This window comes from Homo sapiens, chromosome 8, assembly GCF_000001405.40.
Source record: "Homo sapiens chromosome 8, GRCh38.p14 Primary Assembly".
NCBI classification, from domain to species: Eukaryota; Metazoa; Chordata; class Mammalia; order Primates; family Hominidae; genus Homo; species Homo sapiens.
The window spans coordinates 121,268,947-121,293,710 of NC_000008.11; the positions used below are offsets into that span (position 1 = coordinate 121,268,947).

A 24,764-nucleotide genomic window follows, 5' to 3' on the forward strand; every position below is an offset into this window, starting at 1 on the left:
GCCGTTTTGCTTTTGAGAGGAAAACAAATACAGTCTTCCTGTTCTTATGGAGAATTTACACAAACATTGATTGACCATGAAGATAACACCAATAGCCACGAAAAAAAAGTACTGCCAAATGGTAAATGATATGGTATTATAAAGTGTGGATTTTCTATAGACCATGAAAATCAGAACATAATTTTAAAATGAAGAAAACAGGAAACCAAAGATGAAAGTGCTTATTTATTAGATCCTGTTTCTGAGTTCAGTTATATAGTTCATTGCAAAGTTGGTATCCTTGCCTTTAAATATGAATCAGAATACCCATTTTTTAGAAACCTCTGCAACTTTGCAAAACTTCCACACCACTTCAGTTTATCTAGTCTGGATTTCCATTGTTTTCCCTTAAGAACTATTCGACTTTGGGAGCCCAAGCGGGGCGGATCACGAGGTCAGGAGATTGAGACTATCCTGGCTAACATGGTGAAACCTCATCTCTACTAAAAACACAAAAAATTAGCTGGGCGTGGTGGCGGGCACCTGTAGTCCCAGCTACTCAGGAAGCTGAGGCAGGAGAACGGTGTGAACCCGGGAGGCGGAGCTTGCGGTGAGCCAAGATCGCGCCCCTGCGCTCCAGCCTGGGCGACAGAGCGAGACTCCGTCTCAAGAAAAAAAAGCAAAAAAAAAAGAACTATTTGAACATAATTAGATTCAGAGGACAAGGGCTCTGTTTAGCCTGTGCATGCCATCTTGATCACCAATTTGCTGTTTGTATTGACACTCATCTGTGTTGTTTACCTTACTCTCTTTCTTTGGAGTGGTGAATGTCTCAACATAGTCAACAACTATGGGCTTAATCCTCTGTTTCCAAAAAGCATTTGGACTTCATTTATTTTTCCAACTACAAGCCCATTATTGGCCATTGAAGCTTCCAAAAACCACTTTTACTGTGTGAGTGGGAGGCTTAGATAACCAGAATACTTAATTAAATATAATAGTTTTTTTCCAATGAATCCTCCATGGTGCACTCATTTTTAATAGCATCCTAAGCTTCTTTAACTCTAGGAGAACCGGTCCTGAATTTACAAACAGGCAGGTTTAGCATGGAGACACGTTAACTCTGGTAAGTCCAAAGATGCTCTTGAGGGGCTCTTCCCATCTGTTACTGTATTTTGTAGCTTGAGTTTTGGAACAGCTGGGAAGCATGAAAACATTCTCACTGCAAGGAGGCTATGTTATAAACTTCAATCTAAAGAGATGCTCGTTCATTTCACAGAAATCCCTCCAAAACACTAAATTCTGCAATACCTCTACTGCAGAGAAAACTCACATTCTCGGGGCTGTTTTTCTCCTTGAGACTTTTGAATAAAAAGATTAACCTCTTTTTACATTTGAAAGACTTTCTAAAAAACAAGATGATCAAACTTAAATAAAAGCTGTTTGAGAATCTGCTCATATAGTGTCTCATGTTTCATTGGCTGAAAGAAAACTACCCATTTATTATCAATAAATAATAGTAAGAATAATAATAGTAAGTTATTTGAGAGTTATTGTTAGTAATCATTTGTCCAATCCCAGCAAGGAGCTGGATATTCTGAGCAACACTAAATGCTATTTTACTTCATTATGAAGTAAAATAATTTAAATATTACAAAAAGTATGCCAAAGTAACTAAAAGAGTAAATTTCAAATGTTTCATTGTTATAAAAAAAAAGATAGGTGAGCAAGCTGATGAATACATTAGCTTGGTTTAATCATTTCATACTGTGCATGTATATCAAAATATTACATTGTATCCGTAAATGTATACAATTATGATTTGTCCATTAAAAACAGCATTTTAAAAATAATAAATTACTTAGAAGAAAAATCAATACAGCCTATATAAAAATTTGAATAGAGGTGTTAAATACAATAAAATATGTAAATAATGTACTTAGTAACATAATTTATGAATAGTTTTTTATTTGTTGTTGTTAAGAATAACAACATGCATGATAAATGTACACTAGAACTTTTTCATATGTTATGTGAGACAACTATAGCTTAGGGCAACATCACAGGCTCTATAGACATATAGATAGATAACTTTTAGAGTGTGAAGTAAAAAATGAAGTAATGTGGGTAAAAAGTGATATACTAAATAGTGGTAGCTATTATTATTTTTATAAATGTACAATACACACATATTGAGTAAAAGAAAAACTTGTACATGCTGCTCTGCAGCTGCATAATCCCTGCTCTATTTGTGGGTACTCTGAACACTCGCAGTGTATGATTTAATATTGACTAAGATGAGATTCTGGATAAACACTGTGGACCTAAGCCTTTGCCTAAACCTAAATGCTTTGTTTGTTTTCTTTTTTCTGTTTCAGTATTTTTGATGAGCTCAGTTTCTTGTACTTTTAAAGAAATAGGAGGATGGTAGTAGATGACCTGATAAAATGCAGTGTTTCATAAGATCTCGAATTAGTCAAATCTGAATGACATCCGGTGTCTTACATAATGCCTGATGCTTTCTTTTTGACATGCGTAGCTTTTTAAGCCTTTGAGCTAGAGTTTAACAGGGGTGAATTAGTTGGGTTTTTCAAAAAAAATAGAATCAATAGGATATATAAAGATACATAGATAGAGATATCAATAACTTTATTATGGGAATCGACTTATGCAATTATGGAGATTAAGAGGTCCCAAGATCTGCTGTCTGAAAACTAGAGGGTGTGACCCTCTGGTGTAAGTCCTGGAGTCCTCAGGCCTGAGAACCGAGACCTCTGATGTCCAAAGAGAGGAGGAGATGATGCCCCAGCTTAAAGAGAGAGCATGAGAATTCACCCTTCCTCTGCCTTTTTGTTCTATTCAGGCCCTCAATGAATTGGATGATGCCTGCCCACATTGGTGAGAACAGATCTTACTCAATTTACCGATTCACATTGCTAAACTCTTCCAGAAGTGTCCTCACAGACATACCCAGAAATAATGTTCAACCAGCTATCTGGGCATCCCTTAAGCCAATCAAGTTGACACATAAAATTAACCATCACAAGTAGTGAACTTTAAGTCTGTCTATCGTAGTTACTTGTGTGTGTCTGACACCTGTCTTAAACTGGGAAAGCCTGGAGGAAAAGAATTACATCTTCTTCCTCTTCTGTTTCTCCATAGAGGCTAACTCCATGTAGCTGCAATTGCAAAGAGATACATGGGCAGAGAGTAGAGGAGAGCAGTGCAGTGGTGCTTTGATGCTGTAGGAAGCAGATATTGAGGGGAACTCTCCTGAGGGTCCTGAAATTCATAGCTGATTCTCAGCAGATTCCTGGGGATCACACACATGGGCTCCACAGGCACCAGAGAATATTAGCTACATCTTCTCTTACATCTGATACTTCTTGATGTCAGGAAATCAGGCAGCAGCTTCCCCAGCCATCCAATGTTTGTATAAGCTTTTCATTTCCTGTATTATGTATTGTCACTTGGAATACAATGAATGAGTTTTGTTTTATTAATAAAAACTCTGTTCAATATACTGAGGGAGAGAGAACCAAATGAACAGAAAAATAAGTTGGAGATTCTCCAATGCTATATGCCCCAGCATCATGTAAGATTAAAAAAAAAAATTCTTGCCTTTTAGTTGTAATGAGTATCTGGGAGCTAAAAACTGATGATTTTAAGATTAGGCAATATGCAAAATAGACAAAGAAAAGCAGAGCTAAATACAGTGATGCTTGCCTTTCCACCGGCAACTCCAATACAATGATCTATAAGCTTTTGATTTAAACACTTTCTGAGTTACTGGTTAACTGGGGAAAGATTCATGGGAAAAAAAAAAGGCATTACATAACCTTGCCATTCAAAGTCATTGTCACTGGCATCACCTGGGTGTTTGTTAAAAACACAGACCTTGGATATCTTTAAAAACATCCTGAAGTGATCAGTAAAGTCATTAATGATGAGAACCATTCCTAGGGAGGACTTGTTAAAACAGAGATTTCTCAGTCCCACCCCTAGCATTTCAGATTTAATTTGTCTGGGGTGTAGCCTAGGCATTGAAATATTTAAGAGCTCCTCAAGGAATTCCACTGTGAAGGTGTTTGAGAGACAGTAGTACAGAGCTCTTCTGCTATGGTCCTAATACCTGCAGGAGATTTAGCATGTTTGGTAAGTTAACAATAATGACCCAGAATTTGTTTCCAGGTGTATTTTATCTTAAGTAGCTCCATTAAATCCAAGTCCTGAGCTTTTCTACAATAACTAAGATGTTTGGACTTCTGCCAGCATTTTATAGGGTTGCCTGGCTAAGCTAGCACGTCTTTTGTCTATTTCCTCCTGAGTATTATGCTTGCAATTAAATTATTAGCTACAAAATAGGTGGATGCTTTTTTGGAAGTATAGTGATAGCTTTGTAGTCCATAAAGAGCGGGTCTTTCTAAAGGCATGGGATATTTGTTTCCTATTATAGCTGTAAGAAAGCACCACAAACCTTGTGGCTTAAAACAACACATTTATTATCTTACATTTTGTTGATCAGAAGTCCAAAATGAGCCTTACAGGGCTCAATTCAAGGTGTCAGTAGGGCTGCATCCCTTGTAAAGTCTCCAGCAGATAATCCATTTTCTTGCCTTTTTCAGCTTCTAGAGGCCACCTGCATTCCTTGGCCTCGCAGCCCTTCTTCCACTTTGAGAGGTGTCACTCTATCCCCTGCTTTCATCGTCACATCTCCTTTTTCTGACTTTGACCTGCTCGTCTCCTTCATGCAAAGACACTACATTTGGCCCACCTAGATAATCCTGAATAATCTCCATATGTTAAAACACTTAATCACATCTACGGAGTCCCTTTTGCCATGTAAGAAAACATGCTCACGAGTTCCAGGGATTAGACATGAATATCTTGGGGACAGGAGAGGTGTTATTCTATCTGCCACTTATGGTTAAATGTGTCAAAAAAATATTGCACTCAGTAGCGTTAATTTTTTTAAAGAAGAATGTATTAAAACAATCATGCATATGCAAACCAACCATCGTGGTTATTTAAAATACATAAAGGAAGATTTGCATTAATGTAATCACTGCATTTCCATGCAGCTAAGGTTTCTTTATCTTAATTGTTCTTACATTAGTTTGCAGGAACTTCCCTCTCTATCCTCCCCTTGCTTTACTGGACATTACTTGCTGTCTAAATCTTTCATCCATTAACAAGTTAAAGTTGTCTTCTACCACAGGTGTTCATTTAATCTTTATTCCAGATCAGTGATTTTCAGTCTTGGTTACCCACAACGATAACCTTGGGAGTTCTGACAAAAATCCAGTGTCCAGGCCACATTCATGACCAATTAAATCAGAATCTTTGGGGAGAAAACCCAAGTATCACTGTATTTTTTTTTTCTTTTTCAACTTTTATTTTACATTCAGAGGGTACAAGTGCAGGTTTGTTACATGGGTAAATTGCAGGTCACTGGGGTTTGGTGTGCAAATGATTTTGTCACCAGTCAGTGAGCACAGTACCCAATAGGTAGTTTTTTGACCCTCACCCTCCTACCACCTTCCACTCTCATGTAGGCCCCAATGTTCATTGTTCCCCTCTTTGTGTCCGTGTGTACTCAACGTTTAGCTCCCACTTATAAGTGAGAACATGTGGTATGTAATTTTCTGTTCCTGTTTTATTCACTTAGCATAATGGCCTCCAGCTGTATCCATGTCACTGCAAAGGACATAATTCCATTTTTCGGGGTTGCATAGTATTCCATAATATGTATATACCACATTTTATTTATCTAGTCCACCATTGATGAGCATCTAGGTTAATTCTTGTCTTTGCTATTATCAATAATGCTGTAATGAATGTACAAGTGCATACGCCTTTTTGATGGAATAATTTATGTTTCTTTGGCTACATATCCAGTAATGGGATTGCTTGGTCTAATGGTAGTTCTGTATAAATTCTTTGAAAAAGAGTTTGCAGACTATTTTTGAGAAATCTCCAAACGGCTTTCTATAGTGGCTGAACTAATTTGAAATTGCCCAGATTATTTCAATGTGCATCTCAGTTTGAAAACTGCTTCTTAAGAGTTCCTGTTTCCTCCTTCAAGCTATATGCTCTCTTCCTAATTCCTACTGAAAGAAAGAAGAAATCTACATGGCACCCTGTTTGCTGAATAACCCTCTGATGTTTTGTTGTTGTTGTTTTTCAGCTAGAGAGTAACCAATGCAGCAGCAAAACAAGTTTATAGTCAGAAGTTAACCTAGCGGTACCTACACCCTCTTGAGAGTATAAGAGCTTAGGAAATGCCATCAAGATACCTCTACCCAGTGCCCCAATATTGACAGAGCCAATAGGAATAACTTGCTGGAGAGGTGAGCTTTGCCCAGGTGAATGTCCAGCCTTTCTTCTCTTCCCTCTAGTACTATCCGAAGATAACTTTGGAAATTAAGAGCTCACAATCTGAGAACACTCAGGGGCCAGCTTTTTGAAGAATTGACCTGTGTCACTCCTGGAAGGACTTTTCTCTGGATCCAATCGAAAGGCAGAAGCCACCCCAATTCATCCTTTGTAGTTGTCTCTCTGCACAGTGTTTTGGTTTTGTTTGTTTTTTGTCCTGGAATCAGTGGCATCATAAGGTTATGGATGTGCTCTTGTGTGCCAAATTTGAAACAGGCCTTTCTGTTCTTAATTACAGTAACATTTTCTAATTTGACTCTGACAGGCACCCTGTTACTTTCATTACCTATGCTACCGTACTTTTCATGTCTTACCCCTTTCCTCCGTAAGTCTTCTCTGTTAACAGCACCTATTGACATCTAATACACTACATATTGTATTTATTTATTGTATGCCTTCTACCATTAAAGTGCTGAAAAAAGGAGAATAGGAATCTAAGAATCTTAGCCCTTTTTCTTTCTTTTGGCTACCACTTTATTCCTAATAAAGCCTAAAATAGTTCCTCACACGTTATAGGTGCTCAGTAAAATATATTCAAATATATATCAAAAATAAATTCATTCAACATATATGTGAACGTATGATTTTCATTCATATGAATGAATGAATGAATTTTATCCTTATAACAGCCCTATGAGAGAAACGCATCATTAGGCCTGTTCTACAAGATGACGAAATTGAGGCACTGGAAATTAAGTTCTCAAGTAGAAAATGGCAAAGAAGATTTCAAATCCAGGCAGTCTGATTCTCAGTCTATCCTCTTGGCCACCACTTTATAATGATTCTTCTCCTTATCAGCTATACGATTAAACCTAATTACCTTAACAACAGTGCTGTGGGGAGAAGCTATTCCTTCTAGTCTGGCGTGGGTCTGAATATTGCCTTTGACAGCTCCTAACTAGGTGTTTTTTGGCAGGTAATATCCCATCTCTGAGTTCTTCGCTCATACATGAAACAGGAACATCTACCTCACAGGGTTACAGAAACGATTGAGTGAAAGATGGTACATTTTCTTCTTCGTTTTAACGGGCAAAGCTTCCCCCAACCACAGGATAGCTTCCAGTGAAGCAGGCAGACGCAGGCACTTACTAAGGCTTTCAGGTTTCCCTATTATCTGCCCATGTCGGGGTCTTGGACAAAGGAAATGATATGTGACATTTGGGGTTGAGAAAAATGTTTCAAGAGACGCAAGTTGAGTCATCTCCTTATTTTGGAACATTTTCATGCAAAGGTGAAAGAAGTGCCCTTTTTGTCTCCAAAGAAGCTACTCCTATCTGCTTTTGCATTACATGATTTTATTTAGTTTCAGATGACTGTGTGATTTGAGAGGTGACTTATGCTTTGCTGAATATATCTATGGAGAAAAGACTAACTAATAACTGTAATTTTTTCCTGATGGATTTTTTTTTTAAAAAGGAAATTTTAAGAAATACCTGTTGTTGCATGGTTTTTGAATCCCCTGGTCGGCTTTGTTGAATGCAGATTTTAAAATGATTATTTGCTGTGAATATTAATAATATTCACCACAAATAACATATTGTCTATAGAGCTGAGGTGTGATCAGAACATTTCCATCACCCAAGAAAGAAATCCTGATCCCACTGGCATTCACTTTTTTTCTTTAATTTTATTTTTGTATGTGTGTGTTTTTAATTAAAACTTTTATTTTGAAATAACCATAGATTCATATGCAGTTATAAAAAAAAATACAGAGAGATCTCCTGTACCCTTTACCCAGTTTCCCCCAATGGTAACATTCTATAAAACTGTAGTACAGTATCACAACCAGGATATTGATATTGATATAGCCAAGATACAGAACAATTCCATCATTGCCAGGATCCCTCATGTTGGTCTTTTATACCCACATGCACTTCCCTCTCTTCTTCTTTTTTTTTTTTTTTTATTATACTTTAAGTTCTAGGGTACATGTACACAACGTGCATGTTTGTTACATATGTATACATGTGCCACGTTGGTGTGCTGCACCCATTAACTCATCATTTTCATTAGGTATATCTCCTAATGCTATCCCTCCCCGCTCCTCCCAACCCACAACAGGCCCTGGTGTGTGATGTTCCCCTTCTTGTGTCCATGTGTTCTCATTGTTCAATTTCCACCTATCAGTGAGAACATGCAGTGTTTGGTTTTTTGTCCCTGAAATAGTTTGCTGAGAATGATGGTTTCCAGCTTCATCCATGTCCCTACAAAGGACATGAACTCATCCTTTTTTATGGCTGCATAGTATTCCATGGTGTATATATGCCACATTTTCTTAATCCAGTCTATCATTGATGGACATTTGGGTTGGTTCCAAGTCTTTGCTATTGTGAATAGTGCTGCAATAAACATACGTGTGCATGTGTCTTTATAGCAGCATGATTTATAATCCTTTGGGTATATACCCAGTAATGGGATTGCTGGGTCAAATGGTATTTCTAGTTCTAGATCCTTGAGGAATTGCCACACTGTCTTCCACAATGGTTGAACCAGTTTACAGTCCCACCAACAGTGTAAAAGTGTTCCTATTTCTCCACATCCTCTCCAGCACCTGTTGTTTCCTGACTTTTTAATGATTGCCATTCTAACTGGTGTGAGATGGTATCTCATTGTGGTTTTGATTTGCATTTCTCTGATGGCCAGTGATGATGAGCATTTTTTCATGTGTCTGTTGGCTGCATAAATGTCTTCTTTTGAGAAGTGTCTGTTCATATCCTTCGCCCACTTTTTGATGGGGTTGTTTTTTTGTTTTCTTGTAAATTTGTTTGATTTCTTTGTAGATTCTGGATATTAGCCCTTTGTCAGATGAGTAGATTTCAAAAATTTTCTCCCATTCTGTAGGTTGCCTGTTCACTCTGATGGTAGTTTCTTTTACTGTGCAGAAGCTCTTTAGTTTAATTAGATCCCATTTGTCAATTTTGGCTTTTGTTGCCATTGCTTTTGGTGTTTTAGACATGAAGTCCTTGCCCATGCCTATGTCCTAAATGGTATTGCCTAGGTTTTCTTCTAGGGTTTTTATGGTTTTAGGTCTAAGATTTAAGTCTTTAATCCATCTTGAATTAATTTTTGTATAAGGTGTAAGGAAGGGATCCAGTTTCAGCTTTCTACATATGGCTAGCCAGTTTTCCCAGCACCATTTATTAAATAGGGAATCCTTCCCCCATTTCTTGTTTTTCTCAGGTTTGTCAAAGATCAGATAGTTGTAGATGTGTGGTATTATTTCTGAGGGCTCTGTTCTGTTCCATTGGTCTATATCTCTGTTTTGGTACCAGTACCATGCTGTTTTGGTTACTATAGCCTTGTAGTATAGTTTGAAGTCAGGTGGCATGATGCCTCCAGCTTTGTTCTTTTGGCTTAGGATTGTCTTGGCAATGCAGGCTCTTTTTTGGTTCCAATATGAACTTTAAAGTAGTTTTTTCCAATTCTGTGAAGAAAGTCATTGGTAGCTTGATGGGGATGGCATTAAATCTATAAATTACCTTGGGCAGTATGGCCATTTTCACAATATTGATTCTTCCTATCCATGAGCATGAAATGTTCTTCCATTTGTTTGTGTCCTCTTTTATTTCATTGAGCAGTGGTTTGTAGTTCTCCTTGAAGAGGTCCTTCACATCCCTTGTAAGTTGGATCCCTAGGTATTTTATTCTCTTTAAAAGCCATTGTGAATGGGAGTTCACTCATGATTTGGCTTTCTTTTTGTCTGTTATTGGTGTGTAAGAATGCTTGTGATTTTTGCACATTGATTTTGTATCCTGAGACTTTGTTGCGCTGGCATTCACTTTCTACTTGCCCCTTGGCAGCTGCTAATCTACTTTCTGTCTCTAGAATTTGCCTATTCTGGACATTACATGCAAATAGAATCATAAAGTATGCGGTCTTTTGAGTCTATTCTTTTATGCAGTGTAATATTGTCAAGGTTTATCTATGTTGTGGCATGTTGCAGTACTTCATTTTTGTATTGCTGAAAAATATTCTATTGTATGGAAATACTACATTTTATTTATCCATTCATCAGTTGATGGACATTTGAGTTTCTCCTGCTTTTTGATTATTATGAATAATGTATGAACATTTACATAAAAGTTTTCATGTGAAAATATATTTTCTATTGTCTTGGGTATACACCTAGGACTGGAATTGTTGAGTCACATGGTAACTCTATGTTTAATGGTATTTATTCATTTCAGTAAAATGAGCATTGTAAAAAATTAAATTCATTACATAATTTGAGTGGCAGAATGATGGGGAGGGTCCCAAAGTCAGACACTTTATATTTATTATCCAATTTAATTTTCACAATTGTGGTGAGATAGACATTCATATTTCTGTTTTACAGATGAGGAGACTTAATCTCTGAGAGATAAATAATTTATCCACTGTCACACAGACATAAATGGGAAAGCAGTAATTTAATCCAGGTCAGAGGGACTCCAAATATTTCCATTATTGAGTTGCTTATTATAACACAGCATACAGCTGGTTTACTGTTATTATTTTTTGGTGGTGATGGTTGTTTTCTGCTTCATTTTTATTTACCCCCATTAGACAAATTTGGAGATTTTAAAATTTAAAACTTTTAAGCTCTGTTTTCTTTACTAAAAGGAAATGTGAAGTTATGTTCTGGGCAGTCTTTCTTTTTTTTTTTTTTTTTTTTTTTTTTGAGATGGAGTCCTGCTCTGTTGCCCAGGCTGGAGTGCAGTGGCAAAATCTCAGCTCACTACAACCTCCACCTCTCCAGTTCAAGCAATTATCCTGCCTCAGCCTCCCTAGTAGCTGGGATTACAGGTGCACACCACCATGCCCAGCCAATTTTTGTATTTTTAGTAGAGACAATGTTTCATCATGTTGGCCAGGGTGGTCTCGAACTTTTGACCTCAGGTGATCTGCCCACCTCAGCCTCCCAAATTGCTGGGATTACAGGCTTGAGCCACCGTACCTGGCCTTTCTAGGCAGTCTTTTATGTCTATGGTTTACATCATTGAGCTTCTATGCCAGACAGCCAGCAAATATTTCTTAAAATAAAAAAGAAACATAAATAACACATGCCATCTGCTAATAAATAACATATGAAAATATGTAATAAATATATGCCAATATATGATAAATATAATACACCAATTCGTTTTAAAGACATAAACCTTGTTGCAAAAATACTAGAATGCAATTGGATTTTAGAGAGGTACTTTCTCTGTACCTCAGTGTCGTACTTTAGTATTTCCTCAAATTCTCCAAAATAGATGTCGACATTACCAGACCTTTTTTTTCCACAAATGAAAATAGATGGTACACTGAAAAAATAAAATCTATTGATAATATTTATATATTTTATTTATAATGGTTTATAAATAGTCTTAAGATCTGCTTAAATTAATAGTTTGCAGATTTCCACAAAGCATAAAAATTATTTTCTCTGATACTAACCACAGTATTATAGCTAATGTTTATGAAGTAGAATTCTTCTAATAAAGTAATATTTTAATTTTTTTCAAACAAAAGTGATAATGCTAAAACCAAAATTCAGTGACTAGGGAAAGATTGATATGGATCAGCCAAAGTAGCATTAATTCCAATGTGTATTAATTTCATCACTCAATGACGTTCATTTGAATATTCCTACAAATAAACATGTGCACATGCATTAATGTTAGCATGTTAGCAAAAACTTTTTTGACACTATGAAAAATAAAGGTATTGATTGTGGCAACTCGTGTAGTTATATTTGAAATATGGAATAATACTTTTAGTAATTGTTTGCTTTAAGTATTCCAGAAAAAAGTTTCAAGGCAGCATGATTGGTGGGAGATTATATTGAGAACATGTATGCCTTTGTGTTTTCTTTCTTAGAAATGCCAATTAGAAGCAGACGAATTGAGAGTTGGAAACAATGAAAGAAATGGAGTTAAAAAAAAAGTTTTTGCTAATTCACAACATAGATAACCAACAATTACTTAAATGTATTAAAGCTATTTCTTTACAAAACCAATTTCTTTAAATCTATTGTGTTATAAAAAAAATTTCAGGTTCCATGTCATTCATTCATTCATTAACTCATGTAAGAAAATTGTATTTAGTGCCAACTTTTTACCAAGAATGATGCTACTGGTGATGATACAGACATAATTCCTGCCCTTGTGGACTTTGTGGTCTGTTAGAAAATTTTTGTATCAAGTGCAAAATTAATGGAGGGGAGACTTCCTCCTATTCTATGACTCTTTGAAGCATAGTTCCTTATATCCTACTTTTGAAAGCTCTTCGCTAAGATGTAATTGTCCCTCTATACAAGATTTTGTTTTTTCAAATAACTTTGTTTCTTCCTCGGAATGGTAATTAATGAAAGGATGAAGCACCTAGTATTCTATAGTGGTAGAGGAACATTAAAATATAGATAAATTAGAATAAGTCTTTCCAAAGGGAAAAAAGTGGCCGTCAAAAGCTTGCTAAGTTGTCTTTATTTGTAATCACATTAGAAGTTTCCCAACAATAACAATCATTTCAAGAGAAACCAAAGCAGTCCACTGAAGGGCATGGCCAGGAGCAGGTGGTAAATAGAACACACAGCCTATAGGGCAAAGAGGGAAGTTGAGGGAGCAAGGTCTTCTAAAATTGATCATTCTTACAGCAAGCATTTCTACCCACTATCACTTTCAAAGCTCCTATTACACGGTTGTATCCAGCTATTTAAGTGATTCTTTTCTTAGAATCAAGGAGCTTCAGGAGCCCAGAAGAATCATAGAGGTCACCTCAACATTTATCTACCAAGGAGAGTTTACTAATCAAAACAGGGAACTAAAATGCCAAAGGATGTGTTTTTTCTTACAATTTAATTATACCACATTCTCCCTTTTCCATTTAATGTGCATAACTCAATTGAATGTATATTTTCTTATTTATTTGATGATAGCATTGGCATTTATAAATTATTGTCTGAAAGAGCACCAGGGGATGTCTGGTTTCTTTCCCTCAGTAATTTTGCCTGCTTCTGTTTAACAGAGGCATATTTATCTCAGATTTCTGCTTCTTGCCTTCCACAATGAATGACATTTCTTTTCAGATATTTCCATTTCCAGATACGATATTAAGTAACTTCAATAATGTAGAGAAAAATGTTCAAGGATAAACCTCACATAACAGTGTTCTTTTAAACAAATATCTTTCTTAGTGACAACTTTGGGAAGATCTCTTTAGTCTTTTTCATATGCACACACACATATGCACACTTTTAGTTTATAGGATAGTTAAAATGACATGTGCAAATAGCCTTTAGTGAATCTTTTTGACATGACAGTTTATGGTTTAAGAGGTGGCTAGTGGGTCTCTGCTTTCAATGTTATGCATAAAATAAAGAAGTATGAACACTTCAATTGCACAAGAAGTGTCATTTTAAAATAATATAATTGTCCCTGCATTTTAGGAGTATTATTTTTTTTTCATCAGCCTTAGTCATGATTGCCAATTCAGGGGCAAATGTATGAGATAATCCCCAATTTTGTTTGTATTGCTCACAAGTCATTAATTTCATTTCTGGGCAGTATCTTTTGCATGTCAAGTCTCTCCTTCCTTTTTCTTCCAACCCTTTAATCAGTGCAAATGGTTTTATTCCACAGGGCAGAGGCTAAGAAAAATACACATGCAGTTAAGAGACTGGACAGGGAGTAGAGTGCTACATTTTTATTCATATTGAAATGTGGGATACTGTAGCTTCTCCTGAAGCAACTTTTATGCAATACTCATGCAGGACACTTTATGGAAAAAAAATAAATCTCATGGTTAAAGAAATTTGGAAAAATCTATATACTTTCTTAGAAAGTAATATGCTAAGGTTTAGCAAATAAAAATACAGGACACTTGGTTAAGTTAGAATTTCAGATAAACAGCAAATACTTAGTGTAATCCCATGCAATATTTGGAACACACTTATACCAAAAAGTTATTTGGGCATCGTGTATCTTGTCTAGTAACCCTATTAGAAACTCAGTCACATTTAGCATTTTAACTTTTTGTTTAATCCTTAATTTATCATTGACAAATTTAGAATTCCAGAGAAAGCAGCATAAAGAAAGGAAACACTGACAGAAGATGATAGAGAACAATGGATACTTTTGTTTGGCTTGACCCCCCACAATAAGTATGAGGTAAAGTTGGAGGAAAGAAAGATAGAAAAATATAATGGATATCTGTTGCTTTTCCTTGACCAAGACCCATATCTTCATAATATCAACAGTACCTCATTGGAAAACCATCCCTAGCTACTCTCAGCCCTTCTAATGTGTGGAAGGCTAATCCAATACCAGTTTCTAAAGATAAGTAACTGATTTAGGCCTGAACATCTGGTGTGCTTCTTCTCCCTGGCAACAGTGATTGGTTCAGAGAAAGACTACCAGACTTGGGATTTTGTTGGCATGATTTTACAAGAAGCACCACTTCCCCTTGGGTTGCTCTATGGATGGGATCTGGAGCTGGAGGGGCTGGCAGCCATTTTTTTTTCCCTCTCCTTTGGCGAGGCTTCCTGCAAACAAAGCCAGGACAGTTGAAGAAGCCTCACCAAAGGAAGGAGGGCAAGATCATCCGTGACGTCACTAAAGCACTTGGACCTGGCTGTGGCTGAGGCCAACGCTGAAATTAATAAATTAAATGAACTCTCTGTCCTTCTTCTTTCATTCCTTCCTTCCTTTCTCCCTTCCTCCCTACCTGCATCTCTCCTTCTCTCCCGTCTTCTCCTTTTCTCCCATCTTCTCCCGTCTCTCTCTTTCTTTCATCTTAAGCCACTTTGAAGTAGGCCTCTCACAACCTAAAGACTCCTAATTTCCCCATAAAAATAGTTTAGAGCTGGATTATGAAAGATATTTTATTTCAGACTAAGGATTTAGAATTTTAATCTGTCTTAAACCTTTGGTGATTTCTGAGCAGGGAAGAAATGGGATTAGAGATTTAACCTAGGAAGGCTAACAAGAGGATGCATTAGGAGAAGGATTTAGGAAAGGAGTGCATCCCTGGAGGCCGTTATCCTAAGCGAATTAACACTGGAACAGAAAATCAAATACCCCATGTTCTCACTTATAAGTGAGAACTAAACATCGGGAATACATGGACATAAAGATGGCAACCATAGACACTGGAGACTACTAGAGGGGAGAGGAAGCAGGGGCAAGGACCCAAAACTAATTATTGGGTATCATGCTCACAACCTGGGTGACAGGATCATTCATAACCCAAACCTCAGCATCATGCAACATACCTGGGTAACAAAACTGTACATGTACTTCCTGAGTCTAAAAGTTGAAAATAAATAAAGAAGAAGAAAGGAGTGCATCAGTTACAAGACTATCAAAAATTCTTTGGTGAGCAGGGATAGGGCACTGATCTGGTGTACTGGACATACATGGATATAAGAGTGTTGATAGAGAATTTAGATGTGACAGCGGATTAAATGATGGCAAGGGGGGAGACATATTATTATTCAATACATATTTATTAAACTTCTAAAGCAGTGAAACTTATTGTCAGGGGAACATCTTGAATTGGCTCCAGTAGAGATATAAAACACACTTTTAAAAATTATAGCCCAGAGGAATTAAAGGGGCAGAATAAACAACTTGATGAAACTCACTGGAAGTTTGTGGTTTTATTATTTGATTATTATAAGGTTATTATAGCTATTGCCAGAAGCTGAGAGACTTCCTCTGTGGACTTAGGTCCTATTTATGTTGCTGAATAAGCATCCATTTTAAAAAGCACAATCATTAATAACTGGTCCATCTGTATATTTTCCCAAACCACTATAATTTCCCAGTTAACATGTATGGCAGTTAAGCTTTTAATGGCCATTTATTTATTTCTGCAGTATGTTCATTTGAATGTTTTCATTGAACATCCAGACATTTATTAGTCATTTGTTTACCATTACACAAATTTATGGAACCGTTAAATGCACCATCTTGGTGAGCTGTCAGAGAAGAGTTATTGTGCAGAGAAGCATATTGTTTGGAATTTGTTAGAAGCTCATCCCAATACTATTAATTCTGTTTATTAGAGAACTGAGACGATGCAAGTAATCTCACACAGACATAAAAAGCTGACTTGAAAAACATACTCCCCTTCAAATTGAGAGGTTATCTCTTAGAGGGAAAAAAAAGGCTGGAAGAAAATGATTGCTTAGTGTTGGAACCCACATAGAAAATGAATAATAGCTGAATAACTGAGAGTTTAATAACATGCAAGACTCGAGGTATAATATTCTCTTGGGTTCCATGTTTCTGAATGGCCAGTGACAGGTCTTTCTGGTAATTTCATAATAACTCTATCTTGGGTGAGTTCTAAGAAAATTCTTCATACTGAAAATTCTCTCAGCATTGCAGTAAGTTTTTGAGCTATTTCCTTGATATTCATGATTGCTAAAACATGATCTTTTGGAAGCAAGTGAAAGAAATAAAGTTACACACATTTTAAGTGAGATAAATTTGTGTTTGAATCTTGTCTCTGACTATCCCCTGTTGTGTGACCTTAGCGATAAGTGTCTTGAACTCTCTGAGTCTCAAGATCCTCATATTTATGATGGAGATAGTAATATTAACTCCATATAGTAATCAGAAAAACTGATATAATGCACATAAAGTGTTTAGAACAAGGGCTACCACAGTAAGGATTTGGGGAATATTAGGTGTTAATACCATTATTATTCACATAATATTATTATTATTCTCATTATTTCTCTTGAACATTATCTTATCAGAGTGATGCCTTAGGACTAGTAATTTATGCACTGCTTTGATTGATTTACATTTGATAACTACATAGCATCAAAAGACATTTCTCCAGCCATAGTTAGAATGTGATGACAATATAACTGAATTTCTGCTTTTACGCAAGAGTTAAGTTAAAGCTCCTGTTCTGAATTTAAATTCTAAAGTGGGATTTCTCTGCTGAGCTTCTGAGTACCGTGTTTGTGTTTAAAGGCTGCGTACAAGGAAAGCCACAGTATTTAAATACGGATATCCCTCCCTGCCCACACAGGGCTCATCGGTCAAATCCGGAACATTAGCAAATTTCCCTCCTGGCTGAGTTCCAGCTCTTACAGCTGAGTAAGGACCCAGAATCGCTGCCCCCTGCACATTTTCACCACCCACTGCCCTTCCATTCACTGAAGACAATCTCCTTGCTTTCTTTGCTAAGAAGGAAGAAGCTGTTGAGTTCTACTTCAAGAATGAAGTAACCTCTTTTGATTTTCACAGAGCATCCAGAGTATTTTAAGATGATGAAGAGGAATGGAAATAAGAGTGACAGGAGCGAACCAGATGATGTAGACAGCTGACAAATTAGGCCAAATGACCTCTAATATGAATATAAATTAAATCATCTAAATATATCATGGACTTCACTTCCAGATTCTTATTTAGTATAAAACTATGTATTTCATGAAGCATTCATCAGCCCTTAACTTTAAGTAGGCATCAGAATCACCACTGATTCTTTTGAAACTGTAACGGGCACCTCTAAACTCAATAGGTCTGGTAGCTCTGGGATAGGTCCAAGAACTTGTTTTTGTTTTCAAATTTCTGCAGATCTTCCTGATGCAGAGGTAGGAGTGAACACTACTGAATTATGAGGATTCTTGTGAGCGAAGTTTTGACAGTGGATGGCTAACTAACCTGCCAACTAGCCTACACTATTATAAAACAAGACTTAAGGAGTTCATGAACTGATAAAGTATGGAAGGTTCTTGCAACAACTCATAAGAAAACCAGATTCCCCCTGAAGGGTTTCACTAAAACACAGACTCATGTCCTTCAAACAGTGTGACCATTTCTAACCCATTTAAAATTATAGATCCAAAATGATTTCTTGGCCTCTCGTTACCTGGCAATTCATTTCATTAGGTCTGACAGCTAAAGTGTGGCTGGGAGAGGAGAGACAGTTCTATGATAAAAAGAATTTTTGGTGACTCAAATTTTCTATGTTTGTCATAAGCAACCTTGGAATTCACTACTGTCTGCTTTTAGTATTAATGTAATAAGACCAGAGTTCAAATTCTATCTCTGAGTTTTCTCACCTGCCAAATAGGATTAATAATTACTTTTTAGTCATACTACAAAGATAAGAGATAAAATCTGTTGGATATCTATTCACACAAAACTCTAACATTATTATCTCGAAATTCTGAATCAGCTTTGCTTAGTTTTTAAATAGAGGATAATTACTTACAAGACCATTAATACTAAAGAAACTAAGCTTAGAGAACCAGGTACTAGTAGGAGGAACGAGATATCACTGGTTCTAGATAAAAGTCTGGAGGTAAGGTTATAGGAAGCCACCTAAACATGCCCAGTGAAATCCCTTTCTGTGGTTGAATCTTCCTTAAGAAGGGAAAAGCAGCATTTATTTTAATAATTATTAACCCCAGGTATTTGTTGAAACGTGGTCAGAAACTCTGGACATTAGGAATGTCACTTCACAATTTCTGCTTTTAAGTATGAAAAACTCAACAGGGAAATAAAATAGGAATGTTTATGAAGATAGTAGCATTTTCTAATAGAATAGTTAAATAGGATTTACTTTCTAGTTATCAACTCAAACTGAAATGAATCTTACAGTTACTCAAGTAAGCATTCATTCTACGTTTAACTTTCTGATACTTTATTTGGGACAAATACTCATAACTACATTAACTTGGCCTTCAATTTTTAAGTTTTACAAAACAAAGATGCTACCATCATTAATTTTGGTGAACAAGTATCCCAGTTTGCCTAGGACCAAGAAGGTTCTCAGGATGCTAGACTTTCAATTTTAAAACCAGGACAATCCTGGGCAAATGGTGACAAGTTGGTCACCCAATTTTTCTTCCAAGTTCCAGTTTCAGTTCCAGTATATTCACATTAAAGCCTCTCCCACAGTGTAATGTACAGATAATTATGAACTAAACAACAATGTGTGCAACTGCTGCATATATAATACATCATCCCTTAATCTCACCATGTGCTGAGGTGAGATTAGAAAGACAGGGAATTCCACCAAAAGAGAAAGAATGGGAAGCCTACATATTGAATTATTAACAATCATTTGTACTTGAATATTTATGAAAATTGTTACATAATACCTATATATTCAGGCCGGGTGCAGTGGCTCATGCCTGTGATCCCAGCACTTTAGGAGGCCAAGGAGGGTGGATCATGAGGTCAGGAGATGAAGACCATCCTGGCTAACACCGTAAAACCCCGTCTCTACTAAAAATACCAAAAAAAAAAAAAAATTAGCTGGGCGTGGTGGCAGATGCCTGTAATCCCAGCTACTAGGGAGGCTGAGGCAGGAGAATCACTTGAACCTGGGAGGCAGTGGTTGCAGTGAGCCAAGTTTGTGACACTGCACTCCAGCCTGGGCCACAGAGCGAGACTCCATCTCAAAAAAAAAAGAAAAAAAGAAAAAGAAAAAAGAAACGTGTCTATTGTGAGCATTATAATTTCTCTTACTTAGCAAGTACCTATAATGAAGTAAGTGTTACTTAACATCTAAAGTATATGTCAGTGCAGAGAGCATCCATTTCCAAAGTGACAGGAATTCGTTAAGAAAAGCTCTATAACTGACTTTGCTATCAGTATCTACAAAGAAAAGAGGAAATTTCACCAAGAAAGGATAAGGGCTATTTAAATGAGTTTCCTTTTAATAGCTGTAGTGAAAGTGAAGAAGACCTCACAAACCCCAGATATTCCTGAAACAGTGACGGGAGGGTTAATTTTACTATAGATTTCACAGTGCTGGGAAGTGTCATTGATTAAGAGAGTTGGCAGTTAGAGGGTTTTAGCCAGTTACCCATCTGTTTCACAGAAGTTTGTTAACACAGCTGGAAAAGATGTAGTTGCCAAAGCTTTCTTATGCCTTTCAAGTCTCATCTTTTTTTGTTTTTTCCCTCCCAGTAAAAGAGCTAAAACAATTAGAATGTCTTCTCCAAGGAATTAAGCAAGGGGGAAAAAAATTCATTTCTTCTCTATTCCTTCACCAGTGCTGTATATTATTCATATTTAAATTATTAAAATATAGATAAAATGGAATTTCTTGCAGTTTTGAATTTGCCTGTTGGTTGCTCTCTTTCTCGCTCTTTTGTAAATGAAGTCTCTTCTGGTTTTCAAGAAAACGTCATCACAAATTAGCAAGAGATTTCAATCCCCACCCAAAAATTCTCTCTGCGGTTGAATCTTCCCAGCCCCAGTCTCAGATTTCAAATCAGATCTTTTGCACATTGAGTTTTAAACCATGCATATTCCTAAAATGGAGATAATCAAGAAAACACATTCTGCCAATTCAAGTTCAGGGCTGGATTCATTACTTGTTTTATTTCAATTAAGACCTGCAGCGCTTCCTAAACATTACTAAGAATGATGACTAAAGGGCAGAGAGATGCTGACTACTTGCCAAAGTGTTCCCTGGTTGTTTTTCAAACAATTTGCTTAAACCAAGGAATCAGGCAGGAAAATACTATCATTCATTGACTGTTCTTTAAATCCCTGTGTAATGCCAGCTCTATGTTTATATTTTCTTATGTTAATCCTGCACTCGCAATTACATTTTAACATAGCTATTATTTTTATAGATGAAAATGCCAGTACTAAAGCTCAAATAAATTGGCAAGTCACATAGCTAATGAGTGTCAGAGTCAGGTCCACAGGGTTGCAAAATCAATTTATTTCCCGCTATATTATCTTCTTGACCAAAACCCAGGAATTTCAGCTTAGACGGTTTTAAGTCCTTTTACATGCAGTAAAGTGTATTTACAAAAAAAACTTCTTTATTTTTAGGTTTAAATATGTGTGTCATTGCAGCATGCTTCAATTTTTGTCTTTCAGTTTCTCTCTAAAAACAATAATTGTCTTTTTAATACTAAAATTTTCATTTTATTTACTTAAAAAGAATTTGTTATGAATTTGTATGTGCCAGGCACTGGAATAACAGAGTTCAGCACAGTTAACATGACTTCTGCCTTCAGAAAGCTTAAGCTTCATTAAAATGGTCTGTAAACTTTAGTGTCAATTAAAAATGCCTGTGACCAACCTCTTGATATTATGATTCTGAAGTTCTAGTATGGCATCCAGGAATTTTTATTTTAGAAAGACTTCCATGTGATCTTTATTTGTGGCGGGGTTCTCAGGGCAATAGTAGAAGAGATAAATTTAATTTTTATTTTATTTATTTATTTTTTGAGACGGTCGCTCACGCTGGAGTGCAGTGGCACAATCTTGGCTCACTGCAGCCTCCGCCTTCCAGGTTCAATACAGGAGCGTGCCACCTTACCCGCCTAAGTTTTGTATTTTTAGTAGAGACAGGGTTTCACCCTGTTGGCCAGGCTGGTCTTGAACTTCTGACCTCAAGTGATCCACCTGCCTCAGCTTCCCAAAGTGCTGGGATTACAGATGTGAGCCACTGCACCTGGCCAGAAGAGAGAGATTTTAAACAAACACCCAGATTATAAATTCAATTACAAATTGTAATTACATTGTAGGAATAGAACAGGATGGTTTGGAAACATTAAAAAAGATAAATAACTTAAACTGAGATCAGAACAGGGAACTGATTTTCGTTGAGGAAGGTTGGAATTAGCTAGGGTAATGCCAGGATTGTGAGAAGAATGTAGACGAAATAGCAAGGAATGAAAAATTACTGCAGATACTCTACAGAAATCTGAGTTGCAATTATCTTCAAAAAGGTACTTGTTCTCTTTGATTTGTGCAAAGATACTCAGCTTTACACAATTAAGAAGCTGTCATTTCCACCAGTATCAGAACAACAAAGGAATATGTTTTCTAACTGATGGGCTTTCATGGGCTTGCTTGCATTCCTGAACTAGGCCACAACTCTGGAATTTGCTTTCAAATATTCCCAAACAATTTTAAACAATATCAAAAGACTAGATAGCTCACTGTAAATCCACCAAGCCCGATCTATTCTCGTTGTTTTGATGTGTTGGGGAACTTGCTTGATAACTACTTCCTGTGAGAGGAGTCTGGCTGATCCTCAAGTTTCTGTTATGAAGTGTCTAAAAGGCTATAAACCAAATGCTTAAGCATCCAGGTGGGGGGTGAGCTCTCAGACTCAGACAAGTAAGATTGTGTGGCCCTCATGAATATGATCATTTTGTGTGGCCTGTTGTGTCAGGGAGAATTCTATGCTCTGTGGAGGGCCAGTCTCTTTAGTATAATCAATTCCTCTGAGGCTCCGGACTGGCTGTGGGGCCCAAACAGTGGAGATGTTGTCACAGGCCTCAGATGGCTCACTATGTCCCTGGGTTTTGCACAACCCTAATATAGAGATCATTGTCTCATGATGGCATGGTCCAGCTGAAAGCATCATTTGTACAGTAGAGAAATGACAGGCCTTCATAGCTAACTAAGCCTTCTCAATAGGTGGCTTTGAGAGGATCAGGACAGATTTGGGCTCTAAGACACTGGGTAGAAACTGGTAACCAGATTAACTTTACAGACCATTAAATTCTCCCCCATCCCAAGGGAAAAAGGAACACAAAAACAATACAAACATTTTATCTTCTTTAATTCCTTCCTTTCTTCCCTCCCTCCCTTCCTTCTTTCCCTCCCTCCCTTCCTTCCTTCTTTCCTTCCTTCCTTTCTTCCCTCATTCCTTCCCTCCTTCCTTTCTTCCTTCCTTCCTTTCTTCCCTCCCTCCCTCCCTCCTTCCTTCCCTCCTTCCTTTCTTCCTTTCTTCCTTTTCTCCCTCCCTCCTTCCTTCCTTCCTTCCTTGCTTCCTTTCTTCCTTCCTTCCTTTTTGCTTTTCTTCCTTCCTGTTTTTCACGCCTCAGCTAAGGAAACATTCTCAGAACACCTACTATGCACCAGGTACTTTGCTAGCTAGTGGGGAAATGGAAAACAAAGAATCCCAGCTCAATTGACTCTCACAATTTAGTCAGAGGAAACAGATGTGTAAACAATTAATTGAATTAAAATGATATAGGTGTCATAACGGAATTATTATAACTCAAATTTAATAAGATTTTACTGTATGTCAGGCATGATTTAAAATGATTGATAATAGTTGATACACGTCATCTTCACATGAATCCTAAATGATAGTCTATAGATGGCCTTATTTTGGAGAATAGGAAATGGAGGTATAGACAAGAAAAGAAAATTGGGTGAATCCATATTTAAACACAGGCAATTTGTTTCTAGAGCCAGCACTTGATCCACTTTGGTACCCAACTACTATTCAAATATGAACAGAATATAGAGGGAACACAGAGGAAGAAGATATTCACACTATTGGGTATCTGTGAAGGCTTCCAAAAGGGGATTCCAGTCATTTGAGCCTCAAATACCATATTTAGGGTTGTGGTGGAAGAATACACAGTGGCGTTACCAGTGTGAATAAGTTACCGTTCCTCATTTCAAGAAACTTATAGGAGAGCGGGAAAGACGAACTTCAAAAAAAGAAAACTTCTTTATTATATGTTCCAGACTTCACAACAGAAGACAATGTAGAAAAAGCACGTTTTCACACATGATCCCTTTTTATTATGGAGGAAACCTTTAAGCCCTCTTCACTCCCACAGCAGGCTTCTCCTTCATTTTCATTAACCAGAGTTTGGCCACATGGCATTCACCAGACCAGTCACTAATCTAGTCAACTGAATTAACGATGATTGAATTAGACTGGCCATGATTCAACACCTGGGCAGTGAAATGTCACCTTTCCAAGTACAAGCGGGAAGAGCTGTGTGATCAGTATTGGCTTTCTTCAAGCAAGGAAGAAGACAGGGTAAAAAGCTATTTGATAACCAATGGAACTGTCACCATGTAACTCTGATATAAGTAAAACAATATCATGAAGGGATTTATGATCCAATATAAAAATGAGTATTGGGAACTCCTAGATTGTATTGAGGGTTTCATTTATTTTATATTTCACAGAATAAAAGGATGAAGAAAGGATATTACTAAGTAAAGGGGGCAATAATTATAAAAATAATGAAATATTTAGTCATATTTATGTAGTGATGACCTTGTGCCACACACTGTTGAAGTTTTATATATATATATATATATATATATATATATATATATATATACACACGCACATACACATATAATCTGTATTATATGTACAAATATAAAATGCATTTACAATATATGTGTTACCTGAATCCACACCAGTCCTATGAGCTAGGTAATATTATTGTCCTATTTCTCAAGTCAGCAACCCTAAGCACAATGAGGTGGGCAAATTAACTAAAGTCATGCAGCACATAAGAGGTAACTATGTTAGAGTCATATTCATTATTATGCTATATCATACCATTGAGAAACATGTCAATGCTTATTTTTAGATGATATATAAATAGCCTAAGATTTCAGTCA

General features: G+C 36.7%; 1 annotated feature.

Moving 5' to 3' along the window:
* Nucleotides 474-673: a silencer, noted in NCBI's record as "fragment chr8:122281660-122281859 (GRCh37/hg19 assembly coordinates)". NCBI's record gives its function as "represses an EF-1alpha promoter that drives an FKBP-Casp9 reporter gene in an ReSE screen in K562 erythroleukemia cells {active_cell/tissue: K562}" and the evidence as "EXISTENCE:reporter gene assay evidence [ECO:0000049][PMID:32094911]".